The sequence below is a fragment of the Homo sapiens genome, chromosome 7 (assembly GCF_000001405.40).
Source record: "Homo sapiens chromosome 7, GRCh38.p14 Primary Assembly".
Taxonomy (NCBI): Eukaryota; Metazoa; Chordata; class Mammalia; order Primates; family Hominidae; genus Homo; species Homo sapiens.
The window spans coordinates 30,204,352-30,225,682 of record NC_000007.14 but is presented as its reverse complement, the minus strand read 5'-3'; the positions used below and the strand labels follow the sequence as shown (position 1 = coordinate 30,225,682).

The 21,331-nt window shown below is 40.2% G+C and overlaps 1 long non-coding RNA gene across 2 annotated transcripts in view; it reads right to left on the bottom strand.

The window, feature by feature from the left end:
* Nucleotides 1-21,331, bottom strand: part of LOC124901607 (uncharacterized) — a 95,727-nt gene that overhangs the window by 58,572 nt on the left and 15,824 nt on the right. Inside the window, exon 1 of one of the 2 annotated variants that reach the window (XR_007060273.1) lies at nucleotides 1,430-21,331. This exon is cut by the window's right edge and continues 15,824 nt beyond it. This is a non-coding gene — a long non-coding RNA (uncharacterized LOC124901607). The remainder of the gene's footprint in view (nucleotides 1-1,429) is intronic. The other variant, XR_007060274.1, reaches the window with a different exon arrangement.

The window sequence follows — 21,331 nt, the reverse complement described above, 5'->3', positions numbered from 1 at the left end:
AGCCTTGCCCACATATACACATTTTTACAAAATTTTCAGTGTACCCAGAATTTCATACTTGCTTTTTTCATTTGTCTTTACATCAGAAACATTTCTCCTGCTATTTCACACTGTTCTTATCACTGGTAATTGCTATAAAATATTTTACCTAATGGATATACCACAATTTACTGAAATATTTACTCTGTAAGTAGATTGCACTTTTAAAAAAAAGACGTATTTGAGGTATAATTGATATACAACAAACTGTACAAATTTAAAGTGTATAATTTGATAAGCTTGACATGAGTCAGCCTGTAAAACCATCACTACAATTAAAATAAAAACATATCCCTCACCCCTCCACCAAATTTCCTGCAACCCCTTTGCAACCTCTCTCTCTTCTCTGGGTCATTTCTACTTGTTAGGTTTTTATTTTGGTGGTCTTCCATGCCTCCTTGTATTCATACACTTGTGTAGTCTCCTCTCCCTTGAATCTGGGCTGCCTTGTGATCTATTTTAAATAATGGAATGTGGTGAAAGTGATGCTATGCTAGTTTCAGGCTTAAGCCTTAGAAAAGACTAGCAGTTTATGTGTTTGCACTCTTGAAATGTTTCATCTTGGAATTTAGCTGTCATGCTGGGAGGAAGCTCAAGCAACGACATAGAAAGGACCCCTGGAAGAAAACCAAGACCCCTGGCTGAGAGCCCTAGCTGAGCTCCCAGGCAGCAGCCAGCAGCCACAGCCAGCCATTTGGACATTTCAAGCATACTAGTGCTCCAGCCCACACCACATGAAGAGAACTGCCCAGTCAACCCACAGAGTCCTGAGAAATTATAAATCATCATAGTCTAAGCCACTAAGTTTCTTGAAGTGGTTTGTTACACAATTATGAGTAAGCAAAATAGGCTGAGAACACAAGCGATTTTTGTTAGGATGGAGAGACCCATTCTTGGAGAGTCCCATGAAACAGAAACAGAGAAGTGAAGCAGGATTTTTTTCAACCCCATGTCACTCTCCAGCTCTTGCCTCCTTTACCGCTAAATTTCTTAACAAAGTGCTGATCCTTGCTGTCCATCCTTCCTTGCCTTGAGCCCACTCTTAAAATTGGCCTTCCAATGGTCCTATCACCTTTAAAAATGCTCTTCCTGGAGTCACCAGTGAATTTTTTATTGCTCAACCAAGAGGAAGCTTCAGTCCTCATCTTATCTGACATATCAGCCACATTTCTCTTCCTTCTTTAAATCATCTTCTTCCTACATTCACTGAGTAAGATAGATATTGGTCCATCCACATCTCGGAGACCTAAAGAAATAGTGACTTAAAAGCACAGGATTTTATTGCACTATCATGCAAACATTGAAATTGGTGTGTTGGATCTGCTCTGCAACATTGTCCCAAGCCCAGGTTCTTTCTATCTTGTTGCTCTAACATCCTTAGGTATCCCACCTGTCTGTGTGGTTCAGGATGGTTCTTCCCACAGCCACAATCCACCACTGAAAAAGGGAAAATATATAGGAGAGAGCATATCCTTTCCCTTTAAGAGAATAATCTGTAGTTGCACATGTTGTGTTCAGATCCTGTAGCCGGAACAGTCACATGGTCACATCTAGCTGCAACAGAGGTTGGTAAATGCAGTCTTTAGCTAAGTGAACATGCACGCAGCCAACAATTCTATCACTGTGGAAGAAAGGGAGGATGGATGTTGGGGCAACTGGCAGTCTCTGTCATACTCACCTTTGTGACTCCTTCTCATTCTCCTTTGTAAGCTTCTCTTTTTCTACCCAATCTTGAAATGCTGATATTCCATAGGCCTTAACCCACCTCCCTGCCTTTCTCATTCTACACATACTGTACTCTGTGTAATTTAAACAGCTACAGAATGTTCTCAGTTTGTAACTTCCTATGGCCGTCCTGCCAATCCTCCCCTCCTTTACCCACTACCCTGTGTCATCATCGTGTTTCTAAGGGAAAATAGATTTGTTTTAACATTAGCCACAGCTCATCTATAGAGCTAAGGTGTATGTGTGGGAGGAGAGAGAGGTTAGAAAGGATTTTAAAGTGTTTTTTCAAACTTGGTAGAAATATTTTTTAACATATTTTTTCTTTTTTGGATCCTAGACCACCTTTGTTTTTTAACCTTAGAAAAGTGTAAGAAGATTCTGTGGAGAAAAGCCATATGAAGTCTGAATTCCCTAGGCATGGTTAATAATAGCCAACTTTCATAGACCATACAGCACTTTATAAATCCCTTAATCTCCTGTGATCTACACACCTAATCTGTAAGGAAGCTATTATCCATATGTTACTAATGAGGATGATGGTAATCAGATTGGTGGTCACCTGCCAGAATCACACAGCTAGCGACGCACAGTCAGGACTTGAGCACATGTGTCCCATTGGTCTGCACTGTGTTCCCACCTGGAGGCTTCCAGATGTGGCTGATAGTGTTTCCTAAAGGAATACTTGGGGCTAGATAGGTCCTAAAAGTGTCTGGCTGCCTTAGAGTAGGGGATGCTTATATATTGACAGAGGACAGTTTCAGCTGCAGATCTGTGTGGCAGCAGAGAGCGGAGAAGTTTGGTAGAGGTTATAATTAAAACCCAAGTGCCAGTTCTTGGAGGGATGCACACTCAGATCCTGCTCAGGAAACCGGGGGAGCGGGGCAGCTTCCTTATGACTGTTGCATGCTGATCGTCCTGCCTGAGGCTGGGTTTTGGGCTTTCCCTCCCTTTGCTGGGTGCTGTTAAAAAGGACCAGGTTCCTGCAGGCCTCTCTGTCAGCCTGGCACTGGCTTTACAGTCTCCCAGTGGTGTGATTAATGTCTGGGCTTAGGAGGAAATTTCCTCTGCAGGTTTGAGTTTATGCAGGTGAAGGGAAGGTACAGCTGATCTAAAGCATCTGTAGGCCTCCTGGGGTTCTGGGCATCCCTGGGCCTTTCTCCACCTCCTGTTGGTTGGAGGATGTAGGAGCCGACTGAGTGGAGGTCTGCGGCATGCTGGGCCCAGAGGTAGTCAAGTGTATTCCTCATGATGTGTCCTGAAATGATGTCACCCACGCTCCTGGGGGTGGGAATGAGGTAGGCAAGGCTCAAAACCGTGCTCAGGCACCCCCACTCACCCTCTCCAAGCAGAGTAGTCAAACAACAATCATACCAGAGTTTTTTATCCTTAAAATAGCTGAGGGGCTCAGTTTTTTCAGCAAAAATTGAAAAGTGAAAAACCTTGATTCAAGTGAAAGCCTACTATTGATATTAATTTAATGGATGAGATTTTTTTTGCCTTTACTGGAGTGTAATTACATACAATAAACTGCTTCCTTTTCAAGTGTATGATCTGATGACTTTTCCCAGGCATGCACACTTGTGAAATCACCAGCACAAGCAAGATACAGAACATTTCCATCATCCCCAAAAGCTTCTTCATTCCCCTTTGCAGTACTTTCCACACTCTGCCCCTGCGCCCAACACTGCTGATCTGCTTTTCGTCGCTACAGATTAATGTATATTTTCTAGAATTTATATAAATGGCATCAGAGAGTGTGGACGCCTTTGCTTCTGTCTTCATTCACTTAGCATAATGATTTTTAGGCTATCACTAGTTTATTCCTCTTTATTGCTAGTAATATTCCATTTCATGGATAACCTCATTTTGTTTATCCAATCACCCACTGACGGACATTCGAGTTGTTTCCAGTTTTTAGTTCATGCGCATAAAGCTCCTCTGAATATTTGTGCACAAGTCTTTGTGTGGGTGTGTTTTCATTTCTCTTGGGTAAATACCTAGGAATGAAATGACTAGGTCATATGGTAATATGCTTAAATTTTTTGAATATGTATTAACTTATTTTCTTTCTAAATGAACTTTATTTTTTTAGTGCGGCTTTAGGTTCACAGCAGAATTGAGCAAAAAGTACAGAGATTTCCCATTACCCTCTACCCCCACCATGCACAGCCTCCCCATTATCAACATCCCACACCAGAGTGGTACATTCGTTACAGCTGATGAACCCGCACTAACACATTACTATCTACAGTCCATAGTTAACATTAAGGTCCACTGTAGGTGTTGTGCATTCTATGGGTTTGAATAAATGTATAGTGACATATATTCACCATTATAGTATCATATAGAATAGTTTTATATTCTATATGATATAATAGTTTTACTTATTATAGTATCCTATAGAATAGTTTTACTGCACTAAATATCCTCTGTGCCTTGCATATTCATCCCTCCACCAGGCCCTGACAACCATTCATCTTTTTACTCTCTCCATCATTTTGCCTTTTCCAAACTGTCATATGCTGGGAATTATACAGTATGTAGCCCTTTAAAATTGGCATCTTTCACTTAGTAATATGCATTAAATTTCATCTATGTCTTTCTTTTAGAGACAGAGTCTTGCTCTGTCACCCAGGTTGGAGTGCATTGGCGTAATCATAGCTCACTGCAGCTTCGACCTCCTGGGCTTGAGTGATCCTCCTGCTTCAGCCTCCTGAGTAGCTAGGACTACAAGTGTGAGCCATCATGCCTGGATAATTTTTTAATGTTTTTGTAGATATGGGGTCTAGCTATGTTGCCCAGGCTCACATCCATTTCTTTTCTGGCTTGATAGTTCATTCCTTTTTAGTTCTGAATAATATTCCATTATCTGGATGTACCACAGTTTATTTATCTCCTTACCTACTGAAGGATATCTTGGTTGCTTCCAAGTTTTGGCAAATTAGGAATAAAGCTTCTGTAAATATCCATGGGCAGGTTTTCGTGTGGATGAAAGTTTTCAACTCCTTTGGGTAAATACCAAGGAGCATAACTGCTGGATCATATGATAAGAATATATTTGTTTTTGTAATAAAACCATCTTCCAAAGTGTCTACCATTTTGCATTCCTAGCAGCAATGAATGAGAGTTCTTGTTGCTCTAACTTCTTGTCAGCATTTGGTGTTATCAGCATTCTGGATTTTGGCCATTCTAATAGGTAGGTGGTGTTATCTTGTGTTAATTTGCATTTCCCTGATGACACGTGATGTGGAACATCTTTTCATATACTTATTTGCTAACTGTATGTCTTCTTCGGTGAAGTGTCCATTAAAGTCTTTGACCCATTTTTACATCAGGATGTTTGTTTTCTTATTGTTGAGTTTTAAGGGTTTTTTTTTTTTATATATTTTGAATAAAGTCCTTTATCAGATATGCCTTTGCAAATATTTTCTTCCAGTCTATGGCTTATCCTTTTATTCTCTTAGCAGTGTCTTTCACAGAGCAGAACATTTGAATTTTAATGATGTCCATTTTGTCAGTTTCTTCTTTCATGGATTGTGCCTTTAGTGTTACATCTAAAAAGTCATCACCAAACCCAAGGTCATCTAGACTTTCTCCCATGTTATCTTCTATGAGTTTTATAGTTTGCATTTTACATTTAGGTCTGTGATCTATTTTGAGTTAATTTTTGTGATGGGTTTAAGGTTTGTATCTAGATTTATATTTTTGCATGTGGATACCCAGTTGTTCCAGCACCACTTTGTTGAAAAGACTATCTTTTCTTCATTGTATTGCCTTTGCTTCTGTGTTAGAGATCAGTTAGCCACATTTATGTGGGTCTATTTCTGGGCTCTCTGTTCCGTTTTATTGAGCTATCTGTCTATTCTTTCACTAGCACCACACTTTTGTGATTACTGTAGCTTTATAATAAATCTTCCATTACATAGGGTTGGTCTTCCAACTTTGTTCTTCTTCAATGTTGACTTGCTACTTCTGGGTCTTTTGCCTCTCCATATAAACTTTAGATCAGTTTGTCAGTATCCACAAATTAACTTGCTAAGATTTCATTGACTTCACATTGACTTTATAGATAAAGTTGGGAAAGAACTGACATCTTGACAACATTGAGTCTTCCTATCCATGAACATGGAACATCTCTTTATTAAGTTCGTCCAGGATTTCTTTTATCCAAGTTTTGCATTCTTCCTCATGTAGATCTTGTGCATGATTTGTTAGATTTATACCTAAGTATTTCATTTTTGGGGTAAATAGTATTGTGTTTTAAATTTCAAATTCCACTTATTCATTGCTGGGATTTAGGAAAATGATTGACTTTTGTATACTAACCTTGTATCTTGCAACCTTGCTATCATCACTTATTAGTTCTAGGAGTTTTTTGTTAATTCTTTCAGATTTTCTACATACATAGTTATATCATTTGCAAACAATGGCAGTTTTATTTCTTCCTTCCCAATCTATATATCTTTTTTTCTTGTCTTATTGCATTAGTTAGGACTTCCAGTTAGATGTTGAAAATAATTGGTGAAAGAGAACATCCTTGCATTGTTCCTGATCTTAGCAGAAAGCTTCTAGTTTCTCAACATTAAGTGTGATGCTAGCTGTGGGTATTTTGCAAATGTTCCTTATCCAGTTAAAGAAGTTTCCCTCTATTCCTACTTTGCTGAGAGTTTTATCATGAATAGATGTTGGAATTTTTCAGGTGCTGTTTCTGCATCTATTTATACGATCATGTGATTTTCTTCTTTAGCTTTTTGGTGTAATGAATTACATTAATTGATTTTTGAATATTGGACCAGACTTGCATACCTGAGATAAATCCCACTTGGTCATGGAGTATAATTCTTTTTATACATTGTTGGATTTGATTTGCCAAATTTTTTTGAAAATTTTTGCATCTATGTTTATGAGAAGTGTTGGTCTGTAGTTTCCTTTCCTTGTAATGTCTTTGGTTTTAGTATGAGGGTAATGCTAGCCTCATATAATGAGTTAGAAAGTATTCACTCTGCCACTATTTTCTGAAATAGATTGTAGAGAACTGGTATGATTTTTTCCTTAAATTTTGGAAAAATTCACCCATGAACCTACCTGGGCTTGGCACTTTCTGTTTTGGAAAGTTATTAACTGTTACTCAATTTCTTTAATAGATATAGGCCTATTCAGATTGTCTATTTCTTCTTGTGTGAATTTTGGCAGATTTTGTCTTTCAAGGAATTCATCCATTTTATCAGCTTATGAAATTTGTGGGAAGAGTTGTTCAAAGTATTCCTTTGTTATTCTTTTAATATCCACAGGACCTGTAGTGATATCCCCTTTTATTTTTAATATTAGTAGTTTGTGTTATTTCTTTTTTTTCTTCATTAGTCTGGTTTAGACACTTATCAATTTTATTATTGATATTTTCAAAGAATCAGCTTATGGTTTGATTTTCTCTATTGATTTTGTGTTTACAATTTCATTGATGTTTGCTCTAATTTCTATCATTTCTTTTCTTTGCTTACTTTGGATTGAGTTTGCTTGTTTTTTTAAATAATTTCCTAAGGTGGAAGCTTAGATTATTGATTTTGATCTTTTTTCTCTTCTAAATATGCATTCAATGCTATACATTTCTCTCTCAGCACTTCTTTCACTGCATCTCATAAATTTTGAGAAGTTGTATTTTCATTTCCATTTAGTTAAAAAATATTTTAAAACTTCTCTTGAGATTTCTTATTTGACCTATGTGTTATTTAGAAATGTGTTATTTAATCTCTAAGTATCTGGGAATTTTCCTGGTATCTTTATGTTGTCAATTTTAATTTAATTTCATTGTGGTCTGAAAGCAGACACTGTATCATTTTTATTTTTTTTTTAATTGTTAAGATGTGTTTCATGGCCCGGAATGTGGTCTATGTTGGTGTATGTTCCATGCGAGCTTGAGAAGAATGTGCATCGTGCTGTTGTTGAATGAAGTAGTCTATAGATGTCAATTATATCCAGTTGATTGATGATGTCACTGAGATAAGCTATACCCTTACTGATTTTCTGGCTGCTGCATATGTTCATTTCTGATAGAGGTCTCCGACTATAATAATGCATTCATGTATTTGTTTTTGCTGTTCTATCAGTCTTTGCCTCACATATTTTGATACTTTGTTGTTAAGCACATACACAATAAGGATTGTTTTGTTTCTTAAAGAATTGATCCTTTTATCATTATGTAATAACCCTCTTCATCACTGATAATTTTCCTTGCTCTGAACCCTACTTAGTCTGAAATTAATATAGTTACCCCAGCTTTCTTTTGATTAATGTTAACATGGTATATCTTTCTCCATCATTTTTCTTTTTTGTTTTTTGAGACAGGGTCTTGCTCTGTTGCTCAGGCTGGAGTGCAGTGACACAATCATGGCTCACTGCAGCCTGGACCTCCCCGACTCCCACCTCAGCCCCCCAAGTAGCTGGGACTACAGGTGCATGCCACCAAACCTGGCTAATTTCTTTTTAATTTCTTTGTAGAGACAGGATCTTATTATGTTGCCCAGGCTGGTCTTGAACTCCTGGGCTCGAGAAATTCTCCTGTCTTAGCCTCCCAAAGTGTTGGGATTACAGGTGTGAGCCACCATGTCCAGCCATCACTTTGCTTTTGACCTGTATGTGTCTTTATATTTAAAGTGAGTTTCTTATAGACAACATAGAGTTGAATCTTGCTTTTTGATCTGCTCTGACAATCTCTGTCTTTTAATTTATCTATTTAGACCATTGCCATTTAAAGAGATTATTGGTATATTGGATTAATAGCTATCCTACTTGTCACTATTTTTTATTCATTGCCCTCATTCTTCGTTTTTATTTTTGTCTTCATCTCTTTTTCTGCCATATGGTTTTTATAGCAGAATTCATTTTATATGATTCAATTTTCTCTCCTTTCTTAGCATACCAATTATACCTTTTTTTAAAAAAAAGTTTTTAGTGGTTATCCTAGAGTTATCAATATACACTTACAACTAATCCAAATCCACTTCCAAATTGTACTATACTGTCACAAGTGGTACAAGTACCTTATAATAATATATTTTTAGTTATTTTCTTTTGACCCTGTATTATTGTTGCCATTAACTTTACATATACATAAGCTCATGCATGTGCACACGCACACATACATAAGCACACAAAATTGAAGACGTTGATATTACTATTTTGAACAAACTCTAGTCTGTTAGATCAGTTAAAAATAAGAAAAAATAACTGTTAAAATTTACCTTCACTTATTCTTTCTCTAATGCTCTTTCATTCTTTATGTAGATTCAAGTTTCTGACCTATGTTGATTTTCTTCTCTCTGAAGAATTTCTTTTAACTTTCTTGCAAAGGCAGATTTACTGGCAACAAATTTCCCTCAATGTTTGTTTGTCTGAGAAAGTTGTTATTTTTCTCTCACTTTTGAGGGATAATTTTGCAGGATATAGAACTCTAGATTGGTGGTTTTTTTCTCTCAACACTTTAAATATTTTACTACACTCTCTTCTTGTTTACATGGTTTCTGAGGAGAAGTTAGATGTAATTCTTATCTTTGCTTCTCTGTAGTTTGAATCCTTTTCTCCTCTGTCTTCTTGCAAGATGTTTTCTTTGTCTTTGATTTTCTGCCATTTGAACATGGCATATTTAGGTGTAGTTGATTTTTGGCATTTATTCTTCCTGGTATTCTGACATTAACTTGGGAAAATTCTCAGTCATCGTTGCTTCAAACATTTCCCCTGTTCCTTCCTTCTTTTCTTTCCTCTCCTTCTGGTATTCCAATTACATGGATTTACACCTTTTGTAGCTGTCTCACAGATCTTGTTCCTTTTATATTTTTTATTTTTAGTCTTTTTTTCTCTTTGCTTTTTAGTTTTGGATGTTTCTATTGACATATCCTCAAGCTCAGAGATTCTTTCCTCAGCCATGTACAGTCTGTCTATTAATAAGCTCATCGAAGGCATTCTTTATTTCTGTTACAGTTTTTAAAAAATTCCTGGCATTTCTTTTTGATTTTTCTTAGAGTTTTCATCTCTCTGCTTACATTATCCATCTGTTCTTGCATGCTGCCTTTTTTTCCCCATTAGATCCCTTAGCATATTAATCACAACTGTGATTTTTGAATTCACAATCTGATAATTTCTATATTCCTGCATATCTGAATCTGGTTCTGATGCTTGCCCTGTCTCCTCAAACTGTGCTTTTGTGTTTTTTTGTTAGTTTGGTTTTTGTTTTTGTTTTTTGTTGTTGTCATTTTGCCTTTTTGTACACCTTGTAATTTTTTTGTAGAAAGCCAGACATGAAGTACTGGGTGAAAGGAACCACAGTAAATAAACCTTTAGTAATATGGTAGTACACAGTGGGGAAAGAGGACCTGCTCTACAGTCCTATGTTTAGGTCTCAGTCCTCTAGTGAACCTCCGTCCCTTGGCTAGAAACTTTACAAATTCCTCTCAGTTTCTTTTACCCACCTTAGGTGAGAAAGGATGGCTGAAGGGGCTGGAGTTGGATAATTACTTTCCCTCAGTTTGGTTAGGCTCTGGCAAAAACGCAATAGCTTAGGCTCTAGTGAAACAGTTTCTTATTAGGACAGTACTTCTTAAGAAGGCCGGTATATTTCAAAATGGCCACTTTTCTCTCCCTGGTGAAAACACAAGAGGATTTTTCTCTGATCCTTGCTGTGAGAACCTGGTAGAGCTCCAGGGCATAAGCCTTGCAAAAGGATTGGGTCCTCCTAGAGTTGTGTTGTGTGTGTGGGTTTTGTTTGTTTGTTTTTTTGTTTGAGACAGGGTTTCCCTCTGTCACCCAAGCTGGAGTGCAGTGGCACGATTTTGGCTCACTGCACCCTCCGCCTCCTGGGTTCAAGCGATTCTCCCACCTCAGCCTCCTGAGTAGCTGGGATTGCAGGTGTGCACCACCACTGCCCAGCTAATTTTTGTATTTTTTAGTACAGAAAGGGTTTCATCATATTGGTCAAGCTGGTCTTGAACTCCCAACCTCAGGTGATCCGCCCCCGTTGGCCTCCCAAAGTGTGTGAGCCACCACACCCGGCCAGGTCCCCCTGGAGTTTTTAACTCATAGACTTATTCACACTAAGCCTCCAGCGATTCATCAGTTATACTTCAAGTTTTTCTATCTCAGCATTGGTTTCCACGGGGCTTTCTGTTTGTGGGTTTCTGCTCTGGTAACTTGTGATTCTCTGTATCCACTTGTCTGTCTCTTCAATTTTTAAAGTAATTTGCCTTGTGACCCCACTTCAATGACAGATCACAGTTGTTGATTTTTCAGTTTGTTCAGCATTTTACTTGTTGTTAGGATGAAGTGGCTCCTAAGCGCCTTACATCTTGGACTGGAAATCTGAATGCTTTAATTTTTAAATAAATTGCCAGAATGTCCATGCCATTTCACAGTTCTACCAGCAATGTATGAGAGTTCCAATTGCATCACATCCTTGTCAATACTTTGTATTGTCAGTCTTTTAAATTTCAACCATTTGTAGTTATAAAATGAATAAGTTCTGAGGATATTATGTACAGCATGGTGACTATAGTTAATGATACGGTATTATATACTTGAAATTGCTAAAAATAAATCTTAAGTGTCCTCACCACACACACATAAATGCACACACACACAATGGTAACTATGTGAGGTGAGTGTGTTAATTAATTTAATTGTGGTAATCATTTCACAATGTATACATGTATGAAATCATCATGTTGTACACCTTGAACATACATCATTTTTATTTGTCATTTATACCTCAAAAAAGCTACAAAAGGAATTTTAGCCATCTTTAATTTTTATTTTAGTTAACGACTAATTATATGAAACATTTTTTATGAGCTAATTGGTCATTTATGTATCCTCTTTTATCAAATGTCTTTTCAAATCTGTATCTGTTTTTAAAAATTTGTTGTTTTTCTTCTTTTTATTGAGTTGTAATACTTGTTTATGTTTTCTGTATACAAATCTTTTGTCAGACAAATGTACTGTGAATGTTTTCTCCATTCTATTGCATAGTGTCTTTCAAAGTGCAAAGTTTAATTCATTTTTTTTCTTTTATGGGTTGGTGTGTGTGTGTGTGTGTGTGTGTGTATCCTAAGAAACTTTTGCCTACCTTAAGATTGCAAAATTGTTTTCTGTGTTTTTTTCTAGACATCTTAGTTTAGCTTTCACATTTGTTTAGATCTGTGCTGAGGTCCATTCTGAGTTAGTTTTTGTGTCTGGTGTGAGGTAAGAGTAATTGATTAACTTTTATAAATGTATTATCAGTATGACTTTGCCCACATAATGTAACAGTAATTTTAGAAGAAATAAAGAATTTAAATTCATAGAAATGAAAAGTAGAATGGTGGTTGCCAGAGCCTAGGGTATTGGGAGAACTTGAGGGTTATTTTGCATGGGTACACAGTTCCTGTTTGGGATGATAAAGAAGTTCTGGAAATGGAAAAAGGCAAGGGTTGGGCAGCAATGTGAACGCACTTATTGCCCCTGAATGGTGCCCTTTAACATGGTTACAATGGTAAATTTTCTGTATGTTTTAATGTCAGTAAATAAATAAATATGAATTGAAGTAAGAAACAGAAAGAGGAAGGAAGGGAAAAAGAAAAGGCAGAAAACATCTGGGGATGTTCTTGTTTTCTGACACAGCAGCAAAACTTGGAGTTATAAAAATCTGTTTAAAAATAAATCAGCCAGCCTTCAGGCTTAGAACCGTGAATTCTCAACTGAATTAAGAAGCATTTCATTTTGTTTAATTTGCATATTAATGCAATGCAAATATCAGAATGGTAGGAAGTAAATGGGGAGAAAATGGCACCAGCAGTAAACACATGGTTAAAAAGGTGCACACTGCATGTCAGTGTGAAGGGCATGAAGATGACAGATGAAGAGACATAAGGTCTGATCACATTTAAAGTCAGTTTATCCCGAAGATCTAAGGACAGACAGAAATGTGACAACAGACAGATTGCAGCAAGTTAAGTGGGTGCAATGACAAGACAAGCCTTTGTTTAAAGTTCATTTGAGATTAGTGTCAGTAGAACAGCAGTGAGATGAAAGGCAGAAAAATGTTGGCCAGCAAAACACTGATGCCGCTGTCCACAGGCGGCACAGCAAGGAGAACTGGAGTACATACAGGTTTTCATACCATGCCGGGAACGAGCCTGCGGCAAGGCAATGCACATTAGTAAAAACTCAGACTGCGCAAACTCTTTGCTTCTGCAGACAGCTTTGTTAAAGACTGGAGTATTATTTAGGTTTCTTTTTGCCTTAAAAGAAAAACAGTTTTGCTTTTAATTGGCCAAGCAAGAACAAAGACTTCACGCTTAGATACTTGCAGCGTTGTCTTTTTGAATGCTGTCTATCATGCCTGTTGGTTCAAATTTTGGGGCAGAATGGGTATAAAACCCACATGTTTCCTGGTTACACTGGGCTTCCTCTCTCTTGGCAACCATACCCCACCCCTGGGCTGGACCCTACATCCCATCCTGTCACCCAGCCGTGCAATTTTTCTGGTGTTACAATTTACCCAGTGCTCACTAAAAACTTAGAAAAAGAGTCGACAGTAGATTAAGGAAGTACAAGGGAGCTAAAGTATAACTTGAAGCAGAGTGAATAGAAGAGGGCAAGAATCTCCGAACTTAGTGGCAGCTGAAGCACTGTGCTAAGTCCTGCAAGGCCTTAGCCTGGCCCTGTGGGAGAGGACCCTAATCATTCAGTCATGTCTACCAGGGCAAGCAATGGGGACTGGTGGCATTTGGACCCCCTATTTGCCATTTGGGGACTGGGGCTAATCCTCTTCCTAGTCTCTTACCTTTCAGTTATGGTCATGTCCAGTTCATTTTTTTCTGGGGTCCAATTCTATGCAAGGTGACTATATTAGTGTCCTAAGGCTGTCCTGACAAATTACTGCCAACTGGGTAGTTGAAGACATCAGAAATTTATTCCCTTATGGTTCTGGAGCTGGAGGTCTGAAATCACAGTGTCAGCAGGACTGGTTTCTCCTGGGGGCTCTGAGGTTACATCTGCTCCAGGCCTTGTCTGGCTTCTGGTGTTGCAGCAGCTCTGGGCATTTCTTGGCTTGCGGCTGTGTCAGCCCAAGCTCTGCCTCCATCATCACATGGCCTTCTTCCCTTGTATCTTCATATCATTTTTAAAATAAGGACACCAGCCATATTAAATTAAGGGCTCACCTGCTTTAGTATGACCTTTTCCTAACTAATTACATCTCAATGACCCTATTTTCAAAGGTCACGTCTGAGGTTCTGGAGAATAAGACCTCATCATATCTTCATGGGGACACGATTCAGCCCATGACAACGACTAAAGCTGAGGTTTTTACTGAAGCATTAAGTGGTGCAAAACCAGAATTGCTTTGGAATTCACTTCTCCTGTGCAGGTGAAGAAAACCAGGATAATAAAGGGAAATGCTTATCTGAGGAACTATACTCTAGGTTTAAATGTCCTCTCTCACTTACAGGACTTTTCATTCCTCCAGGCTCACCGATTTTTATGAGAACTGAAGGCAGAGTTTTCTCCAGAATCCTGGGCTCTGGAATTCAGCAATGCCGGTCAGAAGGTACTTTGAAGGTCTTTTCTTGCTTCTTGTTCCTTCTGTTTCTTGTTCCACAGCTGGCCCCATGACAGAAATATACCATAGAGAATTCTCGGTATTGTTCTTAGCACATGAGTTAACATGAAGAAACACAAATGAAACTAAATATTTCTGCAAATTCAGACAGACCTGGTCCAGAGTTTAAATTCATGAGAACAGACCCAGAAGTTCCTGCAAATGCTTAACACGTATAAAATATTACTTTTCTTGGCGGGGTGGGGGGTGGATCCCTGGTTTAGTCCAAGACTTTTCTGAGTCTCAGTTTATTCATCTGCAAAATGGGAGGTGTTTGCTTCTAAAGGAAACTTAGGGATTCTTTCTCCTCTCCATTGTCCCCTCAGGCTGCTGTCCTGGGCAATCAGTATAGAGGCATCCTTCCGTCACCGCGGGCAGGTGGAGCTTTCACTAGGTCTGGTTAAGTGGACAAGAGTGGCAGGTCGTTACTTCTATCTGCAAAGATGGCGATCAGCATCTTCCAGTACTCTGGGCCCTCAGGACCCCTGCAGTACGCTGTGTTCCTTCTCACGCTTCACCCCAGGATGCAGACTGTTTGCTTCTCCTTCCCTTCCTCCCTATGCAGACTCATCCCTCCTGTGTCTGTGTCGCCCTCCTCTGTCACTCACCCTCGCTAAAACCACCCTAGGTCAACGTAACAAAGCAATTCTTAGGCAAGTGTTAGTGGCCGAGAACATGCTCCCAGGTGACCTTCCTAAGTAATACATGTATGCTTCAACAAAGGCCTTCAAGGACAATGTCCTGACTTCATCAAACCTTTGTTTATCACCACGTAGAGGACACAGTGTGATTCTTCCTATGGGAATGTCCATCTGGCCACTGGGACAGACTGTAAGGACGACAAGTGTATTTGTGACACCTGAATTGATAACACATGGACAGTCCCTTACTTGGTTCTCGGCAGCACCAGCCACTGGAGAGAAGGCTTCTTCCCCATGGTTGGTGAGCCTCTTTGCTGACATAGTGGAGTAGGACTAGGCATGATTGTGCCCCGTGTAGCATGTGCTGTTGGTTTTGACAATGAGGAATTGACTGGCTTCTGTGAGTGAATCCTGTATACCGTCCTGCCCTTAAGCAGCCTCTCTCTCTCTCCCTGGCCAACACTCAGAGAAGTACTTGAAGGGCTCTCATCCCTCTCTCCCCTTCCTCTGCCCTGTGTAGTTTCCTCCCGGCCTCCTCCGGCAGCTCCTGCAAGACTCAGGCACCACTTCTTCCCCATGTTTCCCTCCTTGAGTCTTCATTCTCATTACTATCCATTCCTCCTAAGCTAGCAAAGAAACTTCAAAGGGTGCACACTCAGATGTGGCTCTCCAAAGGTTGCCTGCCCTGGAAACTCGATTTGATCTACAAAGGCAAAATGAACTTCTACGTCTTATAGTTTTGGGTTTTTCTCTTTTCATTTACTTCTCAGCAATGCTCAGGCCATGCATGGGCTCACCCTTTGCTAGTGATCAACCTGATCCTGATTATTATTGGGCACTTTGGATTTAGAAATGTGTCCCTACCCTAGACAATGCGCAATGGCATCCTGTGATTCTGGCGAGTGATCACCAGGCCTATACTCCTACCTTTCTCTGGTATTGGTGATTTCTCTAAGACTGTTCAAATCAAATAAGCACAGTATCTCACCTAACTCTCCCACCCCCTTTTGTAAAGTGATGTGAAACAAATCAGCAAATGCCTTACCCAGTTGATTTCCAGGAGGCCCTGACTCCAATTGTGTATCCAAATTTCCACAAGGCACAGATTAACGAGCTGAATGCAGTGACTCCAAGAAGCTAAAAGTGTGTGGTGTCTTTTCCGAGGGAGGAAGGGAGGAGCCCTCTTCTGCTACCCTGGTCCCTGTAATAAAGTCCAGGAGGATGAAATCTTAAGGATAGAGCTCTCAGAGTGGAGGACAATCCCAAAGAAGGGGCTCTGCAAACCATTGTGAACCAGAAGTTGAACGTCAGTGAACATACCCCAGTGGCTCGAGAGTCAGGTGGGCAGCCCATAGAGAGCACTCGCTCTCCCATTGTTCAGGCTTTGCCATCCAGATCCTCACCCTGCCTTTTTATTAGGTCTTTTCTCTATTCCAGGCACTGTTCTAAGTCCTTGACATCCTTAACTCAGTGGTTCTCAAACTGGGGTTCAGGGATCCCAGAGGGACTAAGAATTCCCTAAGATACTTTAAACATTTTTTATTTCTATTTCAATAATAATTTCAAAATGCTCTCACAGAAGTGTATTGGCCAGGTCTTCTGGATGGGCACCTTAGAGCTATGGACTGCTCATTTCAGCAACTGTTGGCACTTGGGTTTCTTATCTTTTGTTGGTATCTGGAAGTGCTGTTTTAATTGTCACTGGCTGGTGAAGAAAGGACAGATGCTTTTCACTAACCCACATAGAGAAGGCATCACAAACCTAAATGCCTATAGGAGTTGGTAGGGTCCATGAATGAATGAAGCTGGTGGTGTGGAGTCAGGGGCAGACTAGAAGCCCAGGCTCAGGCTTCTAGGGGCTATTGTTCAGCTTCGACCTTGTGGCCTCTTGGAAATATGGACCCTGTGGGGCTTGATTTTCCAGCTTTTCAAGAGAAGCTGGAAAGGCAAATTTTACATAAAAATTTTAAATTCTTCTATAATAGCAATAAATTGAAAAAATTAACACTGTGAGAATTAAATAAAACATGTTCACGGACTACATACAGCCTACGGTCCTCCAGTTTACAACCACTAGACTAAGGAAAGGTTTGGGTGAGTAAAATCATCATTGAGTATATGGTAGTCTAAGGATGCCAAGCTCTAAAGAACCATGTCCTGGTATCACTAGAAACCAACATTTCGAGAAGCTCAATTAATTTCAGCAAAATAACATCATCCAACACACTTCAGTTTTAACTTTGTTGGCTTGTTTTTGGTTTTTATTTATTTGTAAACTTGCCTTTGGCTTTATAGTTGTGTAAGAGTCTATTTGTCAGTATGGAAGAATTGTTGTTTTTTAAATTGACAAATAAAAGTTTTATATATTTATGGTGCACAACATGTTTTGAAATATGTACACATTGTGAAATGGCTGAATCAAGCTAATTAACATATGTATTAACTCACATACTTATCAGTTATTTGTGGTCTAACATAAATAGTTCACATCAGCAGTGGGCATCTGTAAGATATGTCATTCTCAAGTCTGACAAATGATGTCTTGTCTCCTCTAATCTTCACAAACATCTTTAGAAAGATGTATTATTTAACTTTTTTTTTTTTTTGAGATGGAGTCTTGCTGTGTCGCCCAGGCTGGAGTGAAGTGGCGTGATCTTGGCTCACTGCAACCTCTGCCTCCCAGGTTCAAGCGATTCTCCTGCCTCAGCCTCCTGAGTAGCTGAGATTACAGGTGTGCACCACCACACCTGGCTAATTTTTGTATTTTTAGTAGAGACGGGGTTTCACCATGTTGGCCAGGCTGCTCTTGAATTCCTGGCCTCTGGTGATCCACCCACCTCGGCCTCCCAAAGTGCTGGAATTACAGGCATGAGCCACCGTGCCTGGCCTATTTCACATTTTACAGATGAAAAAACCAAGACTTAAACAGGTTAAGTGGTGTGCCCAAACCCACACAGTTAATGAAAGGCAGAGCTGGAATTTGAACCTGGGGCAGGACTGACTCCAAAGCCTGTGGTTTCAACTCCGACTCCCAAATGAGCAGCAGTGCACTCGTAGATGATACCATGCCGCTCCCATCTGAGTTCTCTCACCTTGCTTTTGATCTTTCACTGCCATCTGCCTAGTGGAACCTACACACCATGGAGATTTAGAGGGGCCCCAAATAAGGGGGAGGGATTCCAGACATGGCACTTGAGTCTCAGAGAGACCAGAATTTAGAAGGGGTTAGAATCTGTGTTCAGAACTGTTATCAATGATTTCTAAGTTACCTTGTTGGTCACCTCAGTTTTTGTGAGCTGGCCTGCCAACCTAACCACCCTTACAATCTTGTTTTTAAAAATAAATGTTGTGTAAGTTCCGATAAACTTTTGAAACCAGCTCAATGGCAACTAAACTGCCTGGATCGAGATTAGGTGTGGTTGGTGAGGAATCAGCTGAGACAGTGGTAAGTCGATGTCCCCTGTAGGCAGGTAAGCTTTTTCTCTGTTCTGTGTCACATGCCACCTTCCTAATTCAGTGTGCTACTGTGGGAACCTGTGCCTGGGGAATGTGAAAGGTTGACCACAGGTCCATCAGCTCACTCGGGGCAGCGAGACCTGAAGAGGAACCGTGGCTAAGGACAGATTAAACAATGCGGGAGGAACCCTGGGAAGGAAATACATGAAAACGGTAATAGTGATTATCTGAATCACTGTTGCATTATGGGAGACTTTCATTTTCTTCTCATACTTTTCTACAATAGCAAAACAATGTATTGCTTTTGCTATAAAGAAAAATCATTTTTTTTTCACTAAAGAAAAAGGAATTTTTAAAAATGCACACTGCCTGTAGGGACGGAGCACACACACAGCCATCTGTCACATCTCCTTAAGTGTCCCACAGTGTGAGAAGACAATAGAAGCCACAGATGGGATGCAGAGTAAAACATGCGCCACTGTGAGAGCCGGGAGCATTCCAAGGCACTTATTAAAGGTGTGGGCAGTGACACGCTTCTTTGTTTCTTTCCAGCTGACTCATGCCCAGCTCTGAGTGCTTATTCCTCCCCTGCCCCCTAAGCCCAGGCTCCCTCTGCTCCCTTCAGTGACTGGCACAAGGACAGGAAGCTTAGCTGGTCCTGAAAAATAAAGATGCAGCCTGTTCCTTAACCCATGGTGGTTGTCTTGGGTGCGCCTTTTGTCATGTCGCTGCCACTGCCAGTGTTGGTTGGATATCCTAGGAGGGCACTTCTCCCCACCACCTGCCATAGTGTGCATGAATGGGGCACCTCCCTGCTAACCACAGACCCTGCCTTGAAAACCTTTGCTACAACCAGGGGCTCCCCCTTTCTCCCAGGTATTAACATAATATCTCAATGGGGCCCCACAAAATCCACCAACCCCAAACCCTTCCTAGCATTAAGGCCGCAACTTCTTCCAGCCCTTCAAAAGCCTCATCTCAAGTTCCTACGATGCACCCCGCTGCTCCAAACCCTCTCCATTTTGTGCAACCCCTGACGCTCCCTAGATGGGTCCTGAACAACCAGATAAAGACCTGGGAAGATGGTGGTCTTTTCAGTAGCCTGTAAGACACAGAAAAGCTGATCATTCCCCATGGCGCAAGGGAGCACAGAAATTAAGGATGCAAAAGCCTGGCTCTTTTCTGTGAAGAAAAAATGGGAAATTACCATTTTAGTCCCTTAGCTCAGAAGCCCAATGCAGCAAAATAAATTATGAAATGCGTGCTTGTGTGCAAACAAAACATTAAACTAAATACATTACTCCAACTGCAGAGTTGTATCTGGGGATGAGAAGGGGGCGAGGGAATCTTTGCCTCCACCCCAACACATTCTCCCTATGTTATGACTCTTCAACAACTTTCTTAAATTGTGATAAAATACACATAACATAAAATTAACCATTTTAACCACTTTTGAGTATAAGTCCGGTGGCCTTAAGTATATTCACATTGTCGTACTACCATCACCGTCATCCATCTCAAGAACTTTTTTCATCTTCCCAAACTGAAACTCAGTCCCATTAAGCAATAACCCCCATTCCTCCCTGCCCCAGCCCCTGCAACCACCATTCATTCTACTTTCCTCTTCTGTGAGTTTAACTTCTCTAGGTACCTCATAGACGTGGAATCAAACAATATCTGTCTTTTTGAGACTGAATTATTTTACTTAATATAATGTCTTCAAAGTTTATCCATGTTGTAGCATGTGTCAGAGTTTCCTGCCCTTTTAAGGCTGAATAATAATATCCCATCGTATGAGTATGCCACATTTTGTTCATTCATTCATCCGTCGATGGACACTTGGGCTTCTTCCACCTTTTGACTGTTCTGAATCATGCTGCTATGAATGTGGGCATACCAATATATCTTCAGGTCACTGCTTTCAATTATTTTGGGTTCCAACAACTTTTCTCAAGGTATTATATTAACATAATGGTTGTTAAGTCTATGGTAAAGACTGTATGATAAAATTAAGATGAGACGTGGAGAAGTGGGTCTAAGGGCCACTCCTTTCTCACACTCACCCCTTGGCTGATGGCAGCAGCTCAGCAAGCTTGTGCTGCCGAGGACAGTGAATTTCTCAGAGATTCATCCAGCTAAATCATTAAGGAGTAGCCAAGAAGGACACTGTGAAAACATAAAGGGGCCGGGCATACAGGCCACGCCTGTAATCCCAGCACTTTGAGAGGCTGAGGCGGGCAAATCACTTGAGGTCAAGAGTTCAAGACCAGCCTGACCAACATGACAGGGTGAAACCCTGTCTCTACTAAAAATACAAAAATTAGCCAGGGTTGGTGGCTGGCGCCTGTAATCCCAGCCACTAGGGAGGCTGAAGCACAAGAATTGCTTGAACCTGAGAGGCAAAGGCTGCAGTGAGCCGAGATCACACCACTTCACTCCAGCCTGGGTGACAGAGCAAGACCCTGTCTCAAAAAAAGAGAGAGAGAGAGAGAAAACATAAAGAGAATGGGGAGTTTCCAGTTTGGCGAAGAGTTGGCTCAGGTGTCTCCTCCCTGATCTAAGGTAGTCTTGATGGATTCCTGTTTGAAGGTCAAGTGTTGGCTTAGAGGACTCTCCAGGGTCCAGGCTGTGATTCTGGCCTAAAGTCTCACCCTCCCAGGCAGTCTGACCCAAGTTAGAACACGAGGAAAATTCACTGAGATGTAAATACAAGGTAGCAAAAAGGCATTCGCCATCTCACACCTTGGCTGCCCCACCCCAAAGAAGGACATAGCTTCAATAAAAAGTCCAGACAATGTATTTTGTTATTTTTGATTGACATATAATAATTATACATATTTATAAG